The following is a 22833-nucleotide window of genomic DNA, read 5'->3' on the forward strand; positions in this document are numbered from 1 at the left end:
ACTAGAAGGCCTGATAAATGTGTCAGGAGTTTGAGAGCTTATGTAAAGATCGAGGAATACTCAGGCTTGTCACCTGGAGAAGAGATAAGTGGAGAGCTGGCTGAACGTGCCCATGTGGATAGGTCCAAGAGAGAGAAGTCAGCAGCTGCACAGATGCAAAAACTGTTGGTGGGGCAAGGATTTTTCCCCCTGCGGGCCAGTGGACACTGCGCAGAAGCCAATTTTAATCATGAAAGGATTTCACCAACAATGGTTGCCTGCAAGGGAAAAGCCACCAGTAGAATGAGACTGGAGGCATGTGAAAGAGCTGATGAAGGCCTGCAAGGTCAGCCAGTGAGTGCATGACGCATCTCAGTGAACTTAGCAGATACAGGTCACTGACAGTGGACCTGAGAGTGTTCCCATTCATAAGGAACAGTGTTTGGATGTCTGCTGTGACTGAAGGCCTTTGAAGAACCCAGAGAGATCACCAACTTGCATTGCTAATCCAGTCTTTATGATTTTTCCTTCTTCCCAGTCTCCAGAGCTGTAGGATCTGTAAAGTAAGCAGGAAGGAAGTGGAGTAAGAAGGAAAAAATATAAACTATAAATTATATAGCCTCCTCTCCCCAACACACAGAGATGTACACATCACATTTGCCCACTGCTGGTCCCTGATCCTGTGGGTCAGCTGAGGAGTTGGGGAAGCTTCAAACAAAATGTGACATTAAGGTTTTCAATGAGGCTGAACTGGACTTTTTAACATCTAAAAATGAGACTATTTCTATAGTAAAAGTAACTGAAAAGCTGTGGAATACATCAGATAAAAACTAAAGAAAGACTAGGGCTTGGAGAAGAATAATCCCACTTCCATTTCACCCCATTCAATATATCAGTGCATTATTAACTTTCTATTGCTGCTATAACAAATTACCCCAAATTTGGTGGCTTAAAACAATGCAAATTTATTCTTTTCAGTCCTGGAAGTCTTTTGACAGGACTCAATGGGCCAAATCAAGATGTCAGCAGGACTACATTCCTTCCTTATTCAGGGGATGGCAGAATTCCTTTCCTTGTGGTCGTGAGACTTGGGTCTCCATTTTCTTGCTAGCTGTCAGCTGCAGGCTGCCCTTAGCTCCTAGAGTACTCTCCCCATTCTTTGTACCTCTACATCTCAGAGCCAACAATATGGCATGGAATCCTCATGTTGTCATTTTTCTAACCCTTTCTGTCATTATGTCTCTCTGTGACCACGGTTGGAAAAGGCTCTATGCTTTTAAGGATGCATGTAATTATGATATTAGCTGTGCTCTTAGATGGTCTTCATTATATGAAAATACATTTATTATATACCTAATTTGTTGGGAATTTTATTCAGGAAAGGATGCTGAATTTTGTCAAATGCTTTTTCTGCATCTATTGAGAGGATCATATGATTTTTATCCTTCATCCTGTTACTGTGTTATATCACGTTTATTGAATTGCATATATTGAAACAACCTTGCAACTTAGGGATAAATCCCACTTTATCATAATGTGCTTTCAATTTGGTTTGCTAGTATTTTGATTTTTACATCCATGTTCATCAGGGATATTGGCCTGTAGTTTTCTTGTTTTGCAGTGTCCCGGCCTGGTTTGGGTATCAGAGTAATGCTTCCCTCATAAAATTAGTTAGAAATGCTCCCTTCTTTTTTAATTTTTGAAAGGGTTTGAGAAGTATTTGCATTAATTCTTTAAATGTTTGGTAGAATTTACCAATGAAGCTTTTTGGTCCTGGGTTTTACTTTGTTGGGATTTTTAAATTTTTGATTCAATCTCCTTGCTGTTGCCTGCTTCAGATTTTCTGTTTCTTCATGAAGACTCTGTTTCTCAGCAGGATATATGTGGCTAGGAATTTATCTGTGTCTGTAGGTTATCCAATTTGTTGGCATATAGTTATTCATAGTCTTTTATGATCCTTTTTATTTCTGTGGTATCAGTTGTTAAGTCTTGTTCAATTCTGATTTTATTTGAGTCTGATATCTTTTTTTATTAGTTAATCTAGTCAAAGGATTGTCATTTCATTCATCTTGTCTGAAACCAACTGTTTTGTTGACCTTTTCTAATTTTTAATGTTTTTATTTCATTTATTTCTGCTGTAATCTTTATTATTTCCTTCTTTGTGCTAACTTTGGGCTTAGTTTACTCTTCTTTTTTTTAGTTATTTGTAAAGGTTTGTTGTTTATTTGAGATCTTTCTTTTTTGGTACTGTAGGCATTTATTGCTATAAACTTCTTTCCTAGAACTGCTTTTGCTGCATCCCTTGTTTTGGCATATTGTGTGTTCATTTTCATTTAGATTAATTTTTTATTTATGTTTGTTTTCTTATTTGACCCATTGGTTTCCCAGAAATATGTTGCTTAATTGTCACATATTTGTGAATTTCCAATTTTCCTCTGGTTATTGATTCCTAGTTTCATACTCTTGTGGTCAGAAAAGATACTTGGTGTGATTTCAGTCTTCATAAATCTGTTAAGACTTGTTTTGTGACCTAATGTGTAATCTGTCCTGGAGAATGTTCTGTGTGCACTTGAGGAGAATGTGTATTCTGCTGCTGCTAGATGGAATGTTCTCCATCTGTCTTTTATGTCCATTTGATCTGTAGTGTTTTTCAAGTCCACTGTTTTCTTATTGATTCTTTTTTTGTGGATGATCTATATTCTGTAAGATCAGTAACAGGATAATCTTGCTACTTCTTGAGATCATGTTTGGAGATTCTATCAGGGAAGTGCAGCTACTTGTGTACCCTTGATCACAGAATGGTACTCCTCTATTGAGGAACGTCATCCTCTTCAACTAAGTGCTCAGCTTCAGGAGAAAAGCACGTGAAGCAGTGAAGGAGGAAGGGGATCTCTGCATAGCCAGTGATCTGCCAAATCAACCCTGGTGATGAATGAGTTGACAGATGTTGCAGTCAGATTGCTTTCACATACCAATCTTTCTATTGCTATCCAATATTGTACTGCAAGCCTAGTTAGAGAAATTAGATAAGAAAAAGAAGTGAAAGGCATCCAAATTAGAAAGAAAGTAGTAAAATTGTCTCTGTTTGAATACGACATAGTTCTATGTATAGAAAACCCTAAAGACTCACCAAAATACTGTTAGAACTAATAAATTTGGGAAAGTTATAGGATACAAATCACATACAAAAATCAGTGGTGTTTCAACATACTAACAATGAACTGTCCAAAAAAAAATCCCACTTACAATAGCTACAGAAAATACTTAGAAAAAAATTAAACCAAGGAGATAAAAAATTTGCATACTGAAAACTATAAAACATTGATGGGAGAAATTTTGAAAGACTTGAATAAATGGAACGATATCCCATGTTCATGGACTGGAAGAATTAACATTGGTAAAATATACAAGATAATCTATGGATTCAATTCAATCCTATCAAAATTTCAATGACATTTTTCACAGAAAGAGAAAAAAAATCCTAAAATTCATATGGAACCAAAAAAGACCCTGAATAGCCAAAGTAATGTTAAACAAAAACGAAACACAACAAAAACCCAAAAAACAAAACAAACAACAACAACAACAACAAAAACGAAGATGAAGACATCACACTTCTTGATTTCAAATTCTGTGGCAGAGCTATAATAATCAGAACAGTATGATCCTGGCATAAAAATGAACATATAGACCAATGGAATAGAATGGAGAGCCCAGCAGTAAAATCCACCTAAATGTGGTTAGCTAATCTTCAATAAGGGTATCAAGAATACAAAATGGGGAAAGGATAATCTCTTCAACAAATGAATTGGGAAAACTGGATATCCACATGGAATAATATAAAATTGGATCCTCACTTAATACTATAGACCAAATTTAACTCAAAATCTATTAAAATCCTAAACATAAGACATGAAACTATAAAACTACTTGAGGAAAACTTAGGGAAACCCTCCTTAACAGGGTCTTGGCAATGATTTTTTGGTTATACACAAAAAGCACAGGCAACAAAAGCAAAAGTTGACAAAGGGATTATATTAAACTAAAAAGCCTCTGCATAGCAAAGAAAACAATCGACAAAATTAAAAGGCAACCTGTGTAATGGGAGAAAATAGTTACAAACCATATATATGATAAGAGGTTAATGTCCACATTATATAAGAAATTCATACAACTCAATGGCAAAAACAAAAACAAAATAACCTGATGAAAAGGCATGCAAAGAACTTGAATAAACATTTCTTAAAGAAGTTATACAGACATATATCTGGCCAGATAAAAGAAGGCATATATCTGGCCAACAGATACATGAAAAGATACTCAACATCGCTAATTATCAGGGAAATGTAAATGAAAATGAAAATGATGTACCTCACACCTGTTGGGATGGCTGTAATTTAAAACAAAACACAAGTGTTAGCAAAATTGTGGAGAAAAGGGAACAATGTTACACTGTTAATGGGAATCTAAATGGGAAATTTATCATTATGGAAAACAGTATGGAATTTCCACAAAATATTAAAAATAGAACTGCCATATGATCCAGAATCCAACTTCTGAATATTCATACAGAGGAATTGAAATCAGGATCTTCAAGTGTCATCTGCCCTCTCATGCTCTTTGAAGCATTACTCACAATAGGCAAGATACGGAAAAAACCTAAATGTGCATTAGCAGATGAACTACAAATAAAATATAGCATATACATACAATGGAATCTTATTCAGCCTTTAAAAAGAAGGAAATTTTGCCATTTTCAACAACGTGGATGTTCCTGGAAGACAATATGTTAAGTGAAATAATCCAGACACTTACATGTGGGTTCTAAAATAGTTGAGCTCATAGAAACAGGGGGTTGCCAGAAACTGCAGGGAGAAGGAAATGGAGAGGTTATGGAATTAAAAACAACAACAATAACAAAAAACAAAGAAAGAAAGGAAAACACAAGATTTTATTGAGCTCATGTGCATAATTCGGAGTATTCTTCCCATCTCAAAGTCTTTAATCTCAATCACATCTGCAAAGTCTTTTTTGCTATTTAAGGTAACATTCACAGATTCTGGGAGTTAGTATGTGGGCACCTTTGGGGAAATATTCTGCTTACCACAACCAGTTTCCCAAGATTCAAGGTAGAGTTCTTCTTTAATATTCTCACTGTATATGGCTATAAGCAGTTTAACAATCCATTGATATTTTTCAGAAATCGATGATATCATTTATTTTTAAATTACAGTGTAATGTACACTGAATAGAACACACAGATTTTCATAAAACACACATAATGTCTTTTGACAAATGTCTATACCTGACTATCACCACAAATTATAAAATATTTAAATCACCCCAGAAAGTTCCTTCATGTCCCTGGTAGTAGACCTAGATCATAGGCAGACACTGATCTGTTTTTTCATCATAATCTATTTGTTCCTATTATAGAACTTTATATAAATGGCAGTATAGAGTATGTGGTCTTTTCTATGTGGCTTCTTTCACTTAAAATGTTTACGTGATACATCCATGCTCTTGCATGGGAGTTTGTTAACTTTTACTGCTGAGTAGTATTTTATGAATATGAACTAATTTGTTGATTCATTCTAGTTTTGGGCTATGATGAAAAAAACTGCTATAAAGAAACTTTTCCAAATTTGTTTTTGGACATATATTTTTATTTCATGTGGGTAAATGCCTAGCAGAGAAAACAATGTTACAGCTTAACTGTATGTGTATTTTATAAGAAAATGACAAACTATTTTCCAAAGTAATTACCACTTTATTTGTGGAATCTGTAATGTCAGCTTTCTTATTCCTGAGAGTGGTAATTTGTGCCTACATTTTATTTGCCTTATCAGTCTGGCTAGAGGTTTATCAATTTTATTGATCTTCTACCAGCCTTTAGTTTTGTTAATATTCGTTACTTTTTTTCTGTTTCCTATTTTACTGACTTCATCATTATTATTTCTCTTTTTTCTCCAGACAATATGTTTTATTTGCTCTTATTTTTCTAGTTTTCAAAGTGGAAGCTGAGGTCATAGATTTCAGATTTTTCTTCTTTTCCAATACAGCATTTATTGCTATAAATTTCCTTCTAAATCCAGCTTTATCTACATTCTGTAAATTTTGCTATGTTATATTTTCATTTTCACTTGTCTGATTTTCTCTTTGAGTTCTTTTTTGACACGTGAGTTATTTTAAAGTATATTATTTAGTGTCTGATTACTTGGGCATTTTTTCAGCTATCTCTCTTTAATTGATACATAATTTAATTCCACTGGGGTCAGAAAACATTTTCTGTAGAGCTTTAATTCTTTTACATTTATTGATATTTATAATGGTATAATTTTTTATCTCTTCCTACAGTTTGTATTACTTTATTGTATATTTACTTTTATGCATATGTAGATTCTCACATTTAATTATTAATTTTCTTAAAAAGTTGAAAAATTTTAAACAAGTTTAAATGTTGGTATATGTTTATATGTGTTTGTGTTGTATGTTTGTGGGTGTGTGTGTGAGAGAGAGAGGAGGGGAGAGTAAAGGAAAGAAAGGGAGAGGGAGAGGGAGAGAGAGAAAGAGAGAGAGACAAAATATGTACATATTCATCCCTTGATATATTCACAGGGGATTGGTTTTAGAACCCCCCTTAAATAGCTCAAATCCCTTACATAAAATGTTGTAATATACACATGTAGCTTATGCAATCCTCCGTATACTTTGTCATCTCTAGATTATTTATCATACTTAATATAATGTAAATGTCAGGTAAATCGTTGTTATGCTGTGTTTTCTATTTGTACTTTTAAATGTTATATTGTTGCTTTTTTATTTTTTCTAAATCTATTTTATCTGCAGTTGATATAATCCACAGATACAGAACCCATGGATACAAGGGTCAACAGTATACGTATAAAATAAAGACAATTTATGGAATGTCTTTTATATTTGCTCACATATTTAACCTTTCTAGTGTTCTGTATTCATTTGAGTCGATCCAGGTTTCCATTTGGTATCATTTCCTTTCAATCTGAAGTATTTCTTTCAACATCGCTTGCACCACTGTTCTGCTAGCAACAAATTCTCTTATCTTTTGTTTATAAGAAAATATTTTTATTTTCCTTTAATCTTTGGTTAATATTATCATTTGATATATAAAACTATGTTGACAGTTATTTCACACTCTAAAGATATATTTTCAATGTCATTTTTTTATTTTTGTCTTTCCTTTTTTTGAAAATTAGAAATCGGCTGTCATGCTTGTTGAAAAGATGTATATTTTTTCTCTGGTTCTTTTTAAGAGTCTTTATGTAGTTTAATGATTAGGTAGAATTCCTCTTTTTTTTTCCGGTTGAAGTACATTGAGCTTAATGTGTGGCTTGCTGTTTTTAATAACAATTGGAGGACTTTTAGCTAATATTTCTTCAAACACAATTTTCTGCCCCATTTTTTATGTCCTCTGTTTCTGAGGGTCCTATTACATGTTTATTTCATCACTTCGGTATGGCCCACTGGACATTGAGGACTCTGTTCATTTTCTTGAGTCTCATTTTCTTCTTTGCACTTTTGTTTTTCTTGCCCTGTCTTTAAATTCTTTGTCCTTGACCTCTGTTGTGTTCAACCTGCTGCTAATATCATCCAAAAAACTTTTCATTTCACACATTGTACTATTTACTTCTAGGATTCCCATTTAGTTCTTTTTTACACTTTCCAGTTCTCTTTTGAAATTGTCACTTCACCATTATATTCATCTTTTCCTGTAGATTGTTTGACATGCTTATAATTATTTTTCAGATTTTTGTCTTATACTTCTGAGTCATTTGTGAGTCTGTTTCTATTATCTTATTTTTCACTTGATTATGAGTCTCTTTTTTCTGCTTCTTTGCCTGTCTTGTAATATTTGATCATCTTCTAGGCATTGTGTTAAAGAAAAAGAAACAGTGGAGGCTTAAAAGAGCTTGTTTCTTTGGAGTTTAATTCTTTTAAAAGTTTCTTTGTTTGTGAAGTTATTCAATTATTTAAAGGAAAACATGCTTCTCTGGGGCTTCTTTGGTTATCTATTGTTACTTTGGCAGACTGAAGGTTTTGCACATCCTTCTTCTTCCTAGTCAGGTGTGGATCTCCAAAACAGATTCATATTTGAGAGGGGTGTTGAAGCTCTTTGTTGTTTCCAATTTTATGGGTCATACTCATAAAGGACAAAGTCAAGTGATGACAACAGGGGCACATTTATTTATTTATCTATTTATTTCTTCAACTTAAATGGAGGATAGGACAAATATGTTACTAAATACTTTCTGCACATCCACTGCTGAAAAGCTACCTAAATATCTGAGAAAGGGATAAATCTTGGCAGTTATACATTTACTTTGTGGGAAACTACCTTGTTTTCAACCTTCTTGCCTCCTGTTGTACCAGTGCTCCAACTCTTTCTGAAAGCTTAAGTTAGCCAAATTATGGACTGACTTACAACTCTGAAAAGTTTCAAACAAATAAACACTTAAAAACTTTGGGTGAAGTAAAAGGCGAGAGTCTAGCTATTACTAAGATTTTTTGTTCAGGTACCAAGACCTGTCAGCTAGTTGTCTGGTCTATGGTGTTCCCACACCACAGTCCATTTCCTTCTAGGATGTTAGTCCCTCCGTCTGCATTTCTGAAGACTAAAATGTCAGTTTCTCATTTGTAGTTTTAACTGCCTGCTTTATGGTAATTGGATCTGCCTATTTCCAGCCTCTTCATCTGGCTCTTGGCTTCAGACTGTCGGGATTTCATTACTTATATATGCTTTAGCTTATACTGACTAAAAATTGCTGCATCTTTCTTCAGACTCTACATCACTCCCCGCTCTAAACCTTGCTGAGCTTTTCTCAGTACCTGACACCTACTTTGCACTTTTAAACAAAGTCCTGATATTTTAAAAATAACATAAATGGGAAATAATGGTTCCTGAAATAAATTATAGTCTTTAGCATTTACTTACAAGGTTTTCTACTGCTATATTTTTACCTGAATATTTAAAATATAGAACAAATAAATAACATAAAATGAAAGATATCTTCCAAGTAATTTATGTTTGTTTTTATCTTTGATAGTATTAAATTTGATATCTGCTGGTTTATGTATATTGCGGATGTTCCTTGCTTTTTTGTTTCAATCTCTGCAAAAGACATTGTTTGGCTTTTTTGATACCAGTGTTCAGATTGTACATATCATACACACTTGGAGAACATTAGTATTTTTCACCTCTGTAATTTTATATGGCAGCAAATTTCATTCACATGTGCATGCTCACCCCCCACCCCAACTTGCTATAAAATGAAAAGGCTGGTCAATTGCTTTGATGTTCTTTATATATAATGCTATTATGTACCTAATGCCACATAATTTAATTTCTGTGGTCAAAATTTGTATTCAATTGCCTAGTTTTTACTAAATTGATCACATTTACTTGTTGGTAGCTATTCTACTAGTGTATAGCCTTGGAAAATTAGAGTTTAATGCAGGAAGAACATTTAGAATTAGAATAATATAATCAAAACTAAAATCATCTATCCAAAGAACCTAGACATTTTGATAATAGTTATACAATGTACATTGCAATTAGTTACTCTTTAAATTTTTGAAATTTTATAAATCTGATTGAAAATGTTTATAGGTAACGAATGATGGTGAAAATATTTGTATTACTGTTGATTGAAGGCACATCTATTGTAGTAAAATATGAGTATAAGAGAAAGAGATATTACAATGGGGCATTCGTTGGTACAGTCTTTATAGCCCAGTATAATCTTTGTTCAAGTCATGATTATTACTCTTATTGTGTGTTATGATCTTCAAAAAGGCTATGAACTTCTGTCTTAAAAAAATAGTGTCTTAAAAACAAAAACAAATCTTCTTCTTCCCTAATTTATTTTTTTTTTGAAGTTTTGCATACTTGGGCCATATTTATATGACAAAAAATATCTGATTTTTTTTTGATCAATGTGATCCAAAAATCAGTCATGTTTCAAAAAATTTGGCCAATTGAATTGTTGGGCCTTATGTCAAATAAAACCACTGCTTGAAAACTAAACAAATTGCTTTCAATGGGTTATTATTGCCTTACCAAGACCACATCCTGATGATTTCCCCCGTCACAACAAGACTTTCTTCATAGTGGATCCATTGTTATTATTTTCATAAAAGGCTCAACTTAAATTACATGCAATAGAAGCACCATCATCAGGTGCCCTGTCTCCTTCCTAACAGAAGCCTGGTTTTTCACGAATGCATTTAGTCCTGTCTGTAGCCCCAGTTTTGACAGGCTGAAGGCTGTAGGCATGATGGGCCGCAGATGCCAGGCTTCTTAAGAACTGTTTTCCAGTGCTGTCAACAAACTCCCTCCTTCCAGATTCTTTACAGAGCAGGGCTGGCAGCTGTGCATAGGCTTTGGGATCCACCATCCAGTTACATTTCTAATGCTGGGCTCTTGTTTTCCTGGCTCCCTTGAGCTGGCTCAAAGAAACAAAATGGTATTCCCATATGTCCCTTATTGTTTTCTTGGCAAATATCCCTACTTCCCTGAATCTCCCAGATTCCAGCATGTGAGAGACAAATTTTCTTTGTGAAAATTCCCTCCCTCAAAGGCTGCAGATTAATAGCATTGATTCTAAAGCAAACTGTCTTTTTATAAGGTCTTTTGTAAGGCTGAAGTTAGCTGGGTTTAGGGGCTATGTTAGCATATTCGGAAATATTATGCATATGGTAAACCATAGCAATACAATACAAAGGCAATACAAATAACTGAGCTTGATTTACTAATTTGAATGTCAATACCAATAGTTCAGATATGAAGAGATGCCTATTGACTGAGTGATCCTCTTTCCCTTTCTCATAAAGATTTATGTGTTAAGGCAAAACAACTATCTACAATCTTTAGTAGACATATGCATTTATTTTTACTTCTAAGTAAAGCTTAATTCCAATAAATTGAAGTTAGGAAGGAAGCATTCAACTTTCATATTATTGTTGCCATAATATAAATCACGTGGAACTATTTTTCATCACAGAGATTAGTGTAGCTAAAGAGGAAGACTTTAGAACACATCAAGGATCCATAGTTACTATTGAACAGCAACTTTGAATGTGAGCTAGTATAGGCATATTGAATAAATGATGAACTGTATCATATTCATACTGGTTAATTTGAGATTGCCAGTTATTTAACAGGATATTAACTGTAGCTATATCTGAGCCATTTCTGAAAAGAGGAATCGGAGCCAATTGTTGCACAAGCTCTTACAAGGTCAACAAAACCAAGGGAGGTGATGCAGGAGGAAAGACTTCGTTTTCTCTCTCTGCTCCTAAATTGGTTTCTGGTCATCTAAATCCCCCAATCCATTACCAGAGAGTGAGAGCAGGGGAAGGCAGTATTCATTCATTCCAATTTTCATGCATGATCTAACTCAACAATTTTTAACGTACCAGTGACTTCAACAAAGACACTGTGTTTAATTTCCACGGAACAATGTTCAGTTTCTTTAGATAAAACAAAATGGAATCCCATATCACTATGTTAAGTGTAATCAACACCATTTTGGATGGGGAAGCAGTCACATATAAATGACCTATCAGAGGTATTCCACAAGGACCTAAAGAATTTTGATTGTAATTTTTTGGGCCCTATTCAACTTTACCCGAATAAAAGGGGGAAAATTCTTATAAATAAACGACTTAATATACCTAGGTGAGAAGTTTTTTGTTTTTTTTTTTTTTGAAATGGAGTCTCGCGCTGTCGCCCAGGCTGGAGTACAGTGGTGCGATCTGGGCTCACTGCAAGCTCCGCCTCCGGGGTTCACGCCATTCTTCTGCCTCAGCCTCCTGAGTAGCTGAGACTACAGGCGCCCGCCACCACGCCTGCCTGATTTTTTGTATTTTTTAGTAGAGACGGGTTTCACCGTGTTAGCCAGGATGGTCTCTGTCTCCTGACCTCGTGATCCGCCCACCTCGGCCTCCCAAAGTGCTGGGTTTACAGGCGTGAGCCACCGCGCCCGGCCGAGAAGTATTATTTATATTGTAAGGCCTGTTACAACAAATATCACACACTCATTCCCCCAAAACAAAAACAATAAAAAAAACCCAAAGAGGGTTCAACCAATAACACAAATGCTTGAAGCAGTGATTTTCCAGAACAAAATTTTAGTGTAATAGAACATTTGGATCTTTTTTCCAGTTAAATCTTTCAAAAGCATTATGTCCTGACCATGTTTCTGATTTCTTGACCTCTGTACAACTTAATATAAAAAATCAGAAGTTTATTGCTGTAAATATTTTAAAATATGTTAAACTAGCTAATGTATACTTTATTTTCATTATGCTTTTGTTCTGTCATCAGGTAAGAGACGTGTACACATGGCAAGCAAGATGATTGGGAGGTTAGAATGGGCACTTGCTGGCAAACCTATTTTTGACGGAGAAAAACTGTACTATCCCAGCATAGTCATAGAAACTGCAGGTTCTGGCTGCTTTCAACCCTTCTTTTTTAAAAGACCCAAATTGCCTATGCACAAATATATTTAATAATTATAATTATCATTAAGTAGCAAGGTAGATTAAATATCCTCAGTCATTCTTCTTAAAAAATAAAAACAAAAACCTCAACCTACATTTAAGCAAAAAATGCTTCTTAAAGTCATTTTCAAAATTGATAATGCATCGATATGAATTTGGGTAGCTGAAATTTTGGCTTCCAGTGAAATAGTTCACACACATAAAACATCGCATGCGAATTTTGAATTCAGCAAATGTATTGGAAGTAGTAATTCAACCATCACATCTTCACTTGGAAATACATGCTGTAGAATTTTTCCATACTGTGCTTGCTTTTGATAAATATTATTTTACTGAGCATTGATACTTTCGGACATTTAGAAGTACCTTAGTGCTGATACTTAAGCACTGGGAGGTAATTATTGAACTCTAAATTACCAGTACACTCAAAGAGAAATTTTAAAAACAGAATCCCGATCAGCTGGTCTGATATGCTCAATTAGTTTTTGGATAGTAGGCAGTTATATTATACATAAAACATTTTTCTCTGTATGATTTTTTATTTTGTTATAGTTTCCTAAAATAGTTATATTTATAAAACTTAAGTAAAAATCTAATATTTGATCAACTACTTTCAACAAAGAAACACAATCATCTCATCTCTTGTCAGTTTATAAATGTCACATAGACTTACTATTCTCTGCACTGCAGCTATACCTTTACCAAGAATAAGTATATAAAAATTAGTAAGTAGCTAGCAGGACTACTGGGTATTAAAGGTAGTATTAATTTAAGTTCTGGCTCATTGCTTAGTGTTTGTTAAAGTCTGAATCATCTTGACGTTTTGTTCTGCATTCTGTATTTATTGGCTGATTCTGGTACACGATGTGTTCTTACTCTCATCAGTGGAGATTTGACCCTTATTTTTCATGATTTTGAAGCCTAAATTACTCCATCTAGGTTGGAATTAGTAGCAGTTCTTACCATCCAAATACTATTTGGCTATGGGGATGTTAGAGAAATGGAAATATACGTTTCTGTTGCCCATGGGACAATCTTAATGAATGCAGCAAGTAAAATGATCATATTAATTTGCACTTTCTTATTTTCTGTACCTATCCTTGCCATAGCAATAGACTTAGTTTATATGAAATTAAAAAAAAAAATGTCTAGCCAGGTACAGTGGCTCATGCCTGTAATGCCAGCACTTTAGGAGACTGAGGTGGGTGGATCACTTGAAGTCAGGAGTTCAAGACCAGCCTGGCCAACATGGCAAAACTCTGTCTCTACTAAAAATACAAAAATTAGACAGGCTTTATGGTGCGCACTTGCAATCCCAGCTACTCAGGTGGCTGAGGCAGGAGAATCACTTGAACCCAGGAGGCGGAGGTTGCAGTGAGCTGAGATAGCACCACTGTACTCCAGCCTGGGTGACAGAGCGAGACTCCATCTAAAAATAATAATAATAATAAATAAATTTTAAAAACCAACAAAAAATAAATGTTTAAATTGGTTCCAGTGATTTGCTTACTGCCTGCCCTTTATTTGCCTAGGCAGAGTTTCACTATGTATATAAGGAACACAAAAATAAATCTGACATTTTGATAAATTTGCCCAGAAAATGTGAATTTCATCAGTTATGAAAATAGACTAGTCTAAAATGATCAGATTCTTTTTTTTTCAAATCCAGTTTTGCATATAGACTATGCCATAGATTTTCTTTCCTGGATACCACATGGCTATATTTGGCAATCAAATATTCTCTTGTACTTCCGCATATGGTCCCACCGGAAAACATCATTTCTTCCCTTTAAACTAAGGAGAAACATCCATAACACCAATCTAAACAACAGCAAGAAAGTAGGAATGTGAGTATTCAGTCCTTGAAAGATTAATTGTCACTTTTGGTGACATTAAAATACTGCCAAAGTTCTATTATTAGTCATGTTCATGCCTGAAGAGAAAGTAAAACTTGAGAAGAAATGTTACAAATCAGTTTATTAAAATAAAATCTATGTCACCATTAAGTTGACTGAAATCCACAGAAAGGTACTATAGGATATATTTGCTTAGATTAACTGCTTGGTCTTTGTAACTTAAAATAAAATATAAAGCAAAGAGTTTTTCCATGTTATTATGTAGAAAAAAATCTAAATTGTATTGCATAATATGGCATTTGTGGGTTTTACTACAACAATCTAAGATGCTCATAAGTTTAAAAAGGTTAAATATGAATATATTCCCTTCAAAGTTCGAGAAACAGATTTGTTTTCATAAAATGAAAAAATTTTCTATTTTTATTACCATTAAATGAGAAAATAAGAAATTAAGTCACTGAATTCTTTCTTGCATATGTCTTCTGATAGTTATATTTTGTGAGACTAGTAGATTTTCAAGTCCTTTGAAAAACAGTAAATTAATTATTTAAAAAACTTGTTGAGAAATTCTCATTGAAGAGAGACATGTTCTTGAGCCAAGGAGAAACTTGGTTCTAGTATAATATAGAACACATCTTTATGTCAGAAAAATACTATACAAATTCCCTGTTAGGAGACTCAGAATTCGGTGAGAAAAGCAGATACTGTAAGAATAGTAATCTTATTTTAAAACATTTTCACAGTTTCATCAAATCAATGATTTTATTCATTATAAAGCACAAAATATTTTATGTGTTTTAAGAAAGAAGGTGTTGTGCTCCCAAGTCTAAACAGCAACCTTCTCCCAAAACCTGGGGTGCAAAATCGGGGGCCCTTGAGAGAAGGAAAATTTTCTAGCAAAGCCCAGAGTAGAGGAATGGCCAGAGGGAGAGGAAAAAAGCTAGGGTAGTAGCTACTCATAAATCTATTTTATCATCCTTTACTGGCCACTATATGTCAGATACTATGTAAATCTAGCAGCTAAAATGGTGAGCAAAAAGTAGATGTTTTGGGGAGTGGGGAGGAGGACATTAATCGTGTAATAAACATAATAACAACAAATGTATTAAATAATCACACCAAGAGGTGTATCATTAGAAATAGAGATGAGTTCTCAGAAATCGGGGTTGGCAAATCTCTAAGGGCATATTATAGAGTGTCTTAGTCCATTTGTACTGCTGTAACAAAATACCACAGATGCAGTAATGTATGATAAGCAGAAATGTATTTACTCACAGTTCTGGAGGCTGGGATCAAGTCCAAGATCAAGGTGCCAGCAGATTTGATTGTCTTGTGAGGTCTTTCTCTGCCTCCAAAATGGCACTTTGTTGCTGCAGCCACCTGAGGGGAGGGACACTGTGTCCTTACAGGGTAGAAGGCGAAAGGGCAAGCCCACCAAAGGCTGCAAGAAGCCTATTTTATAATGGCCTTATCCGATTTATGATAGGAAATGCTCTCATGACCTCATCGCTGCTTAAAGGCCCTACCATTTAATAATATCATATTGACCCTTAAGTTTCAACACCTGAATTTTGGAGGGAACACATTTAAACCAGAACACAGAGGAACTTGATGGTGACTGATAGAGGCTTAGGAATGGTTTCTCTGGTGAAATGATGTTGGAGCTGAAATGTGTGGATAAGGAGGCATTATTCAGGCAAAGGGAGGGAGTGGGTAAGTGGAAGACATCCCACATAGAACTAGGAGCATAGGCAGAGCCTTGTGGCTGCAGGAACCAAAAGGCCAGTGTGGCTGCGGTGGAGAAAGCAAGATGAATGGTGATACAAAATAAAACTGATGCAGCGGGAAAAGGAAGATCAACTGTTTTTCTGTATATTCACAATTAACATAGAACACTTCAGACACCATATGTATGTGTTTTTTCCTACAGCCAGCAATTCTCCAATTATCTGCAGACACTGACTGGATGTCCTACAGTTTAACTCAATTCTGACACTCTCTACCTGCAGATAGAATCAGATCTCACAAGTTAAGGGCTCAATCCCACAAGACTGTCCCCACTTCAGATGCTGGTTGCATGTCCAGGTTTTCATCTGTGCCTCTGCCCAGTTGGCTATAAATCAGATGTTATTACAACCCCCTCTTTGTGTTTGATTATGCTAGGATAACTTCCAGAACTCAGGAAATCAGTTTACCTACTAGATTACTGTTTTACTATGAGAGACACAACTCAGGAACAGCCAGATGGAAGAGATGCATGGGAAGAGGTATGGAGGAGGGGCACAAAGCTTCCATTGCCTCTCCAAGTGTGCCACCCTTGCAGTTTCTCCACATGTTCACCAGCCTGGAAACTCTCTGAACCTTATCTTTTTATTCTTTGTGGAGGTTCCATCACATGGGCAAGATTGATCAAATTATTGGCCCTTGATAATCAACTCTACCTCCAGCCTCTCTCTCCTCCCCAGAGGTTGGGCTGTGGGGATAAATATTTCAATCTTCTAATCATATTGTTGGTTCCTCTGGAAAGGAGCCACCATCCTGAGGCTATCCAGGAGCCCCCAGCCCCCAGTCATCTCATTAACATACAAAAAGACACCTTTCACTTCAGAGAGTCCAAGGGTTTGGTTTTTGTTTGTTTGTTTGTTTGTTGTTGTTGTTGTTGTTGTTTGAGATGGAGTCTCACTCTTGTCGCCCAGGCTGGGGTGCAATGGGGCGATCACAGCTCACTGCAGCTGCCGCCTCCCGGGTTCAAGCGATTCTCCTGCCTCAGACTCCCGACTAGTTGGGATTACAGGTTCCCGCCAGCACACCTGGCTCATTTTTGTGTTTTTAGTAGAGATGAGGTTTCACCACATTGGCCAGGCTGTCTTGAACTCTTGACCTCAGGTATCCACCTGCCTTGGCCTCCCAAAATGCTGGGATTACAGGCGTGAGCCAGCACACCTGGCCACATATTTCTTTTTTATGTCATAGGTGAACAGAGACCAGATCAGGCAGTTGACTAGTCTTAAATGACTTTTCTTCTGTGCCAGATTGCCTGGAATAGGATCCCAGCACTGTCACTTGCTAGATATGAACTTTAGGCAAGTTCTTTCATCTTTCTGTGCCTCAATTTCTTCATTTGTGAAATGGGGATAATAATATTATCTGCCTAACACAAGTTGTTAGGATTAAATGGGCAATAAAATATTAGATTTTATTATGTATCATAGTATTTGTATTTTGTTATTTTTGTATTATATATTCTGCTATAACATTATGATATAATACTTTTATTTGTCATTTTGTTCTGTTTTTATTAAGACTTAATATGTTTTTTATTCTGATGGAAATAACCCAATAAAAGAAAACACAGGCTATCAAAGAGGGAGAGAGGAAAGCTGTGAGTGAGATGTCCTTGAATAGGTGAGAGGGACTAAGATTAAGTGCACATGCCAATTAACTGTTCTCACATAGGATCAGGGATGGTGGGGTAGGTGGGTAGAATTTCTGGTGGAAGAATGTAGACATTGTATTTGAATTGCTGCTACTATCTAGTGAAATAAGAAGAAAAGTCATCAGCAAAGGGTAAGGAATGAGCAGGGTAGGAGATTGGAAGAACGAAAGGAAGGTAGAAATGCTCATCTGAAAGGATGGGAGAGTTCATTGTTAAGGACTATAGTATGATTGCTGGGCACCACGTAGAGTTTATTTAAGGTTTTGTGGTTGTGAATTTAGACAAGTCATGTGGCTTTTAGATATGCTTAGGTGCGGGGACAGAGCAGGTGTGACTTGTGTTTAATCAGGATGGCAATTTTACCATGGGAGTATGTTGGAGGGAGAAAGTGACAAAGTGATTGAAAGTATGTCTGTGCCTCCCCAAAATTCATATGTTGAAGCCCTAATCTCCAGTGTGACTGTATTTCAGTACAGGCCTATGAGGAGATGATAAGGATCACATGCGGTCTTAAGGTCCCCAGTGAGATAGGCTGGTACTGTTGTAAGAAGTGGAAGAGGCCAGGCACAGTTGCTCACACCTGTAATCTCAGCAATTTGGGAGGCTAAGGCAAGTGATCACTTGAGCTCAGGAGTTTGAGACCAGCCTGGGCAACAGAGCAAAACCCCATCTTCACTAAAAATACCAAAATTAGCCAGGTGTGGTGGTGTGTGCCTGTAGCCCCAGCTGCTCTGGAGGCTGAGGTGGGAGGATGACTTTAGCCCACGGGTTGAGACTGCAGTGAGCTGAGATGATGCCACTGCACTGCAGCCTGGGTGACAGGGCAAGACCCTGTGAAAGAAGAAGAAGAAGAAGAAGGAGAAGGGGAATGGGAAGGGGAAGAAGAGGAAGAGGAAGAGGAAGAGGAAGAAGAAGAAGAAGAAGAAGAAGAAGAAGAAGAAGAAGAAGAACAAGAACAAGAAGGAGAAGAAGAAGAGGTGGAGACACCAGAGCCCGCTTTGTGAGTGCTCAGATGAAAGGCACTTGAGGGTGGCAGAGGGAAGACGGCTGTCTGCAAGCCGCAAAGAGAGCTCTCACCAGGGAACAAACCCTGCTGGAGCTGATCTGGGACTTCCAGTATCCAGAACTGTGAGAGAGGCATGTCTGTGTGCAAGCCACCTAACCTATGGCAACCTGAGCAGAATACACAAAGGAAGTATGCTGGTGGGAGAAAGAGACAAGATGACTAAGTGTATATGCAAGGAAGTAAATTTAATGATGGGTCTGAAGTTTAACCCAGATAAGAAGGAAGGCAAACATGGTGGTGGGGGTGATTGATGGATAAGCAAACATAAATGAGATGAATGGATTGGAAGTCCCAGTGCAGATGAAGCTATAACTGGAATGATAGGATAGGAGAGTAGGATGCTTGACATTGAAATCATGAAAGTGATGTTGCTATTGGTAATTATAGGGTCTAGGAATATGACTGTAAAAAAAGACTAATGTATTGAAAGCAAAGAGTCAGAGAACTGAGAAATCAGGATATTGAATGGATTGTGTGCATGTTGGAATCATATAGTGAGAGCTCTCTTTGTGGCTTGCAGACAGCCATCTTCTCTCTGCCACCCTCATGTGCCTTTCGTCTGAGCACTCACAAAGTGAGCTCTGGTTTCTTATCCACTGTGTGGATGTAAGAATAATTACTGGAGGAGTAATTCAAAAGGCAGGAATTCAAAAGGCAGCATATTCAATGAATGCATTCAGATATAACTGCATACATTTGAGTGATATATAAAAACAAAATCAACAGGAATTTGTCATGAAATAAAAGGGGATGGAGAAAAGATAGGGAGAAGGTGCCATTAAAGAGAACTCATTGGTCTCTGACTTGAGCCACTGGATCAATCATGGTACCATTTCTAAGTTAGAGAAGGCTGGCAGAAGGCCAGAAGTTTGATTTTGGTATAGAGTTTCAAGTGACTTTGATATATCCAAGTGATATTGAGTACATGGGCTAATATATATTGGGCTGGTTCCCAGAGAAGAGTCCATCTTGGAAATAGAAATCTGTGAAGTGTATGAGATGGGTGATGGCTGAATTCATAAGACTGGTGGCCTTGCCTAGGAGGTATGGAAAGAGCAGAGGAAAAGACAAAGACTTGGACTTGAGTAATTTCAGTATTTAAAAATGAGAAGACTTAGTATGAGCCTCCAAGGGAGATTGATTAGGAAGGGGAAAAGTAGAGGAAAACCAGGAGAGCATGAAATTATAGAAGCCAAGAAAAGTCTTGTGAAAAGGAAGATGCAGCCAATAGTGTTGAAAGTTTAGGGCCAGAAGGCTGAGAGGAAAAAAAAATGACCTTGGAGTTAGTAGCATGGCGGCCATTGGTGACTTTTGTAAGAGCTTCTTTAGTGGACTAATGAGGTTGGAGGAGAAATTAGAGGTTGATAACTGAAGCAGACATGAGGAAAAGGAGAAAGTAGGACAGACCACCTTTTCAAGAATGTTGACTATTAAAAGGAGAAGAAGAAAAACGTGGGAGCTGGAGGGATTGATGGGATTAAGGACAAAGATTTTATATATATATAAATTATAAAAAATATATATTTGTATGTAATTATAAAAATATATAATTATCAAAATTATATAGATATATAAAACCTTCACATACACATATATACACATATAAACAAATACACACATATATACATATATGCACATAAATATACACACATATCGTATATTATGTAATTTATATTTATATAATATATATAATGTTATATTTATATAATATACATTTTTAATATCAGAAGCTTGAGCCTATTTGAATCTCAATACAATGTCTATAATTTGGAGGGGAATTATACAAATGTAACATGTTAGTGCGAAAAGTTTTATAAGGGATGGTAGAAAAGCAGGAAGGTTGGGGTCCAAACTGCAGGCAGTGACACAGATTTTAGAAGGACTAACACCTTCTCTAGTGTGACAGAGAATAAAGGAACCCAGATTGCATTAGGACTCAGAGTCAGGCATCTTACTGTGTTCTATCTTCTCTTTTTCTGAGTGATACAATTCATTTTTACAAGAAAGTATTGTGGGGGTAGGTGCAGTGGACTTTGTGCTCTCAAAGCAGCAGTGAAGAAACAAGGACACCAACTCTGCCTTCTGCTGCAGGCAGGTTTGTGAGGTATGAGAGAGGAAACAGCTACCACTTGAGCAGATTGTGGGAGAAGCAGCGTTTTGAGGTTTCAGCTAAGGAAAGGGGGGCACTCAGAAAATATATGGAAAATGTAGAGGAGTTTGATATTCCTGAGAGCACAATGCGAGGTTTGGGTGGATCATGATGACTGAGAAAAAGTTTGTTGATTTTGGCGAGAAGAAGATCATTTTCAACCTAAGATTAAGCAGTTTCAGAAATAGTTTAGCAGAATGATGGAGGTTCCCACAAAGGATTATGAAGTGAAAAGCAGATACTTCGTTCAAGGAATTTGGCTGTAAGTGAAAGGAGGAAGAGAGAATTCAAGTCTTTTTTTTTTTTTTTGGTTTTGTTTTTTTTTTAATAATCCAACTAATTACCTATGAGATTTCATTTCCATTTTGTTTCTTAACATGAACTCTAGAGTCAGGTTGACTTTCTTCCATAATGCTTTCTAAAATCCTTTCTTCTTTGTTGTCATGCTTTAACTCCTGCCTAGGATGCCCTAAATTTTTTTTTCTTCCTTTGTAAACACAACTTTTCTGGTAAGACCCATTAACATCTACCTCTCAATATTATCTGTTATATATATTTTTTCCCCATTAGATAATTCATTTTTGTTATAAAACTATTGGAAAAATATGTGAAATTTAGCCGGGTGCAGTGCTGCACAGCTGTAATCCCAGCACTTTGGGACTCCAAGGTGGGTTGAATGCTTGAGCCCAGGAGTTCAAGACAAGCCTGGGCAACATAGCGAGACCTCGTCTCAAAAAAAAACTATATATATATGAAATTATAAATTAAAAATAAAATAACCCACATTAAACCTTCCTTCGTATATATTATACTATGTATATTATTAATACTAACACTTCAAAAATTTACATGATAAAGTCTTTTTGATTCCACTAAATATTTATAACAAAATGTTAAAGACTATCTAATAGTCCATGGTATTTGGTTTTCCCTATTATAAATAAGACACTATCTTTTACATAATTGCTTGTGTACATAGTTAATGGCACCCTTAAGGCAGAAATTTTTTAACTAGATGACTAAATCAGAAGATAAGTATTTTTTTAAGGCTCTGGATATATAGAGATGAATTATTTTCTAGAAAGTATCTAATGAATTATCCTTCTACAAGCAGCATATGAGCATTTAGCGTACCCCCCTCCATTGTCAGCATAGAACATTTTCTAAAAATTTAATTTCCAGGGTAGAAAAATGGCTTCTCTCTGGGTTCTAAGCTATGTTCATTTAATTACTAATTAAGTTGAATTTTTTAATAGCTACTGGTTACTGGGTGTTTTCTTCTTTGTGTTGTTATGCCATACCTTTAACCCATTAAACATATTTTTAATTGAATCACAAAAGTTTTAGCGTGGTTGATCTAATCATAAAAGTTCTTTACATGCTAATTATATTCTTGTATTATATATTGTTATTTTCATCCTATTGGTTTCCCAGTGAACCATGTGCATCTGTCATAAGCTTTACCAAATTCTCTATTCTCAGAAGTCCTGCAGCACTCTATAGTGTCAATCTACCATCTTAATGTTTCAGTCTCTATTATCTTGTGTTGTTCATTGATAGTTCCTTTCATATTAATATATTACCATCAGAGCGATAGTAAGTGTCTTAAGAATAAGAACAGGGAATATGTTTATCACCATTACTAGATTTCTAATTGACATTATGTTATATGATTCTAATTTGTTTATTAGTGTATTATTATATATATTCAACAAAATATATAGCAAATTAACTCATTGTGTGTTAATGACCATAACATTCTGGAAAGATATGTGTATGTTTAAAGACCTAGAGAATAGATTAGTTT

General features: G+C 35.7%; 1 protein-coding gene and 1 pseudogene across 6 annotated transcripts in view; one reads left to right on the plus strand and one right to left on the minus strand.

Moving 5' to 3' along the window:
* Positions 1–22833, plus strand: part of HDAC9 (histone deacetylase 9) — a 915592-nt gene that overhangs the window by 718504 nt on the left and 174255 nt on the right. The gene's annotated exons all lie outside the window — the stretch shown is intronic.
* Positions 2665–2951, minus strand: RN7SKP266 (RN7SK pseudogene 266; annotated as a pseudogene).

Source organism: Homo sapiens, chromosome 7, assembly GCF_000001405.40.
Source record: "Homo sapiens chromosome 7, GRCh38.p14 Primary Assembly".
NCBI classification, from domain to species: domain Eukaryota; kingdom Metazoa; phylum Chordata; class Mammalia; order Primates; family Hominidae; genus Homo; species Homo sapiens.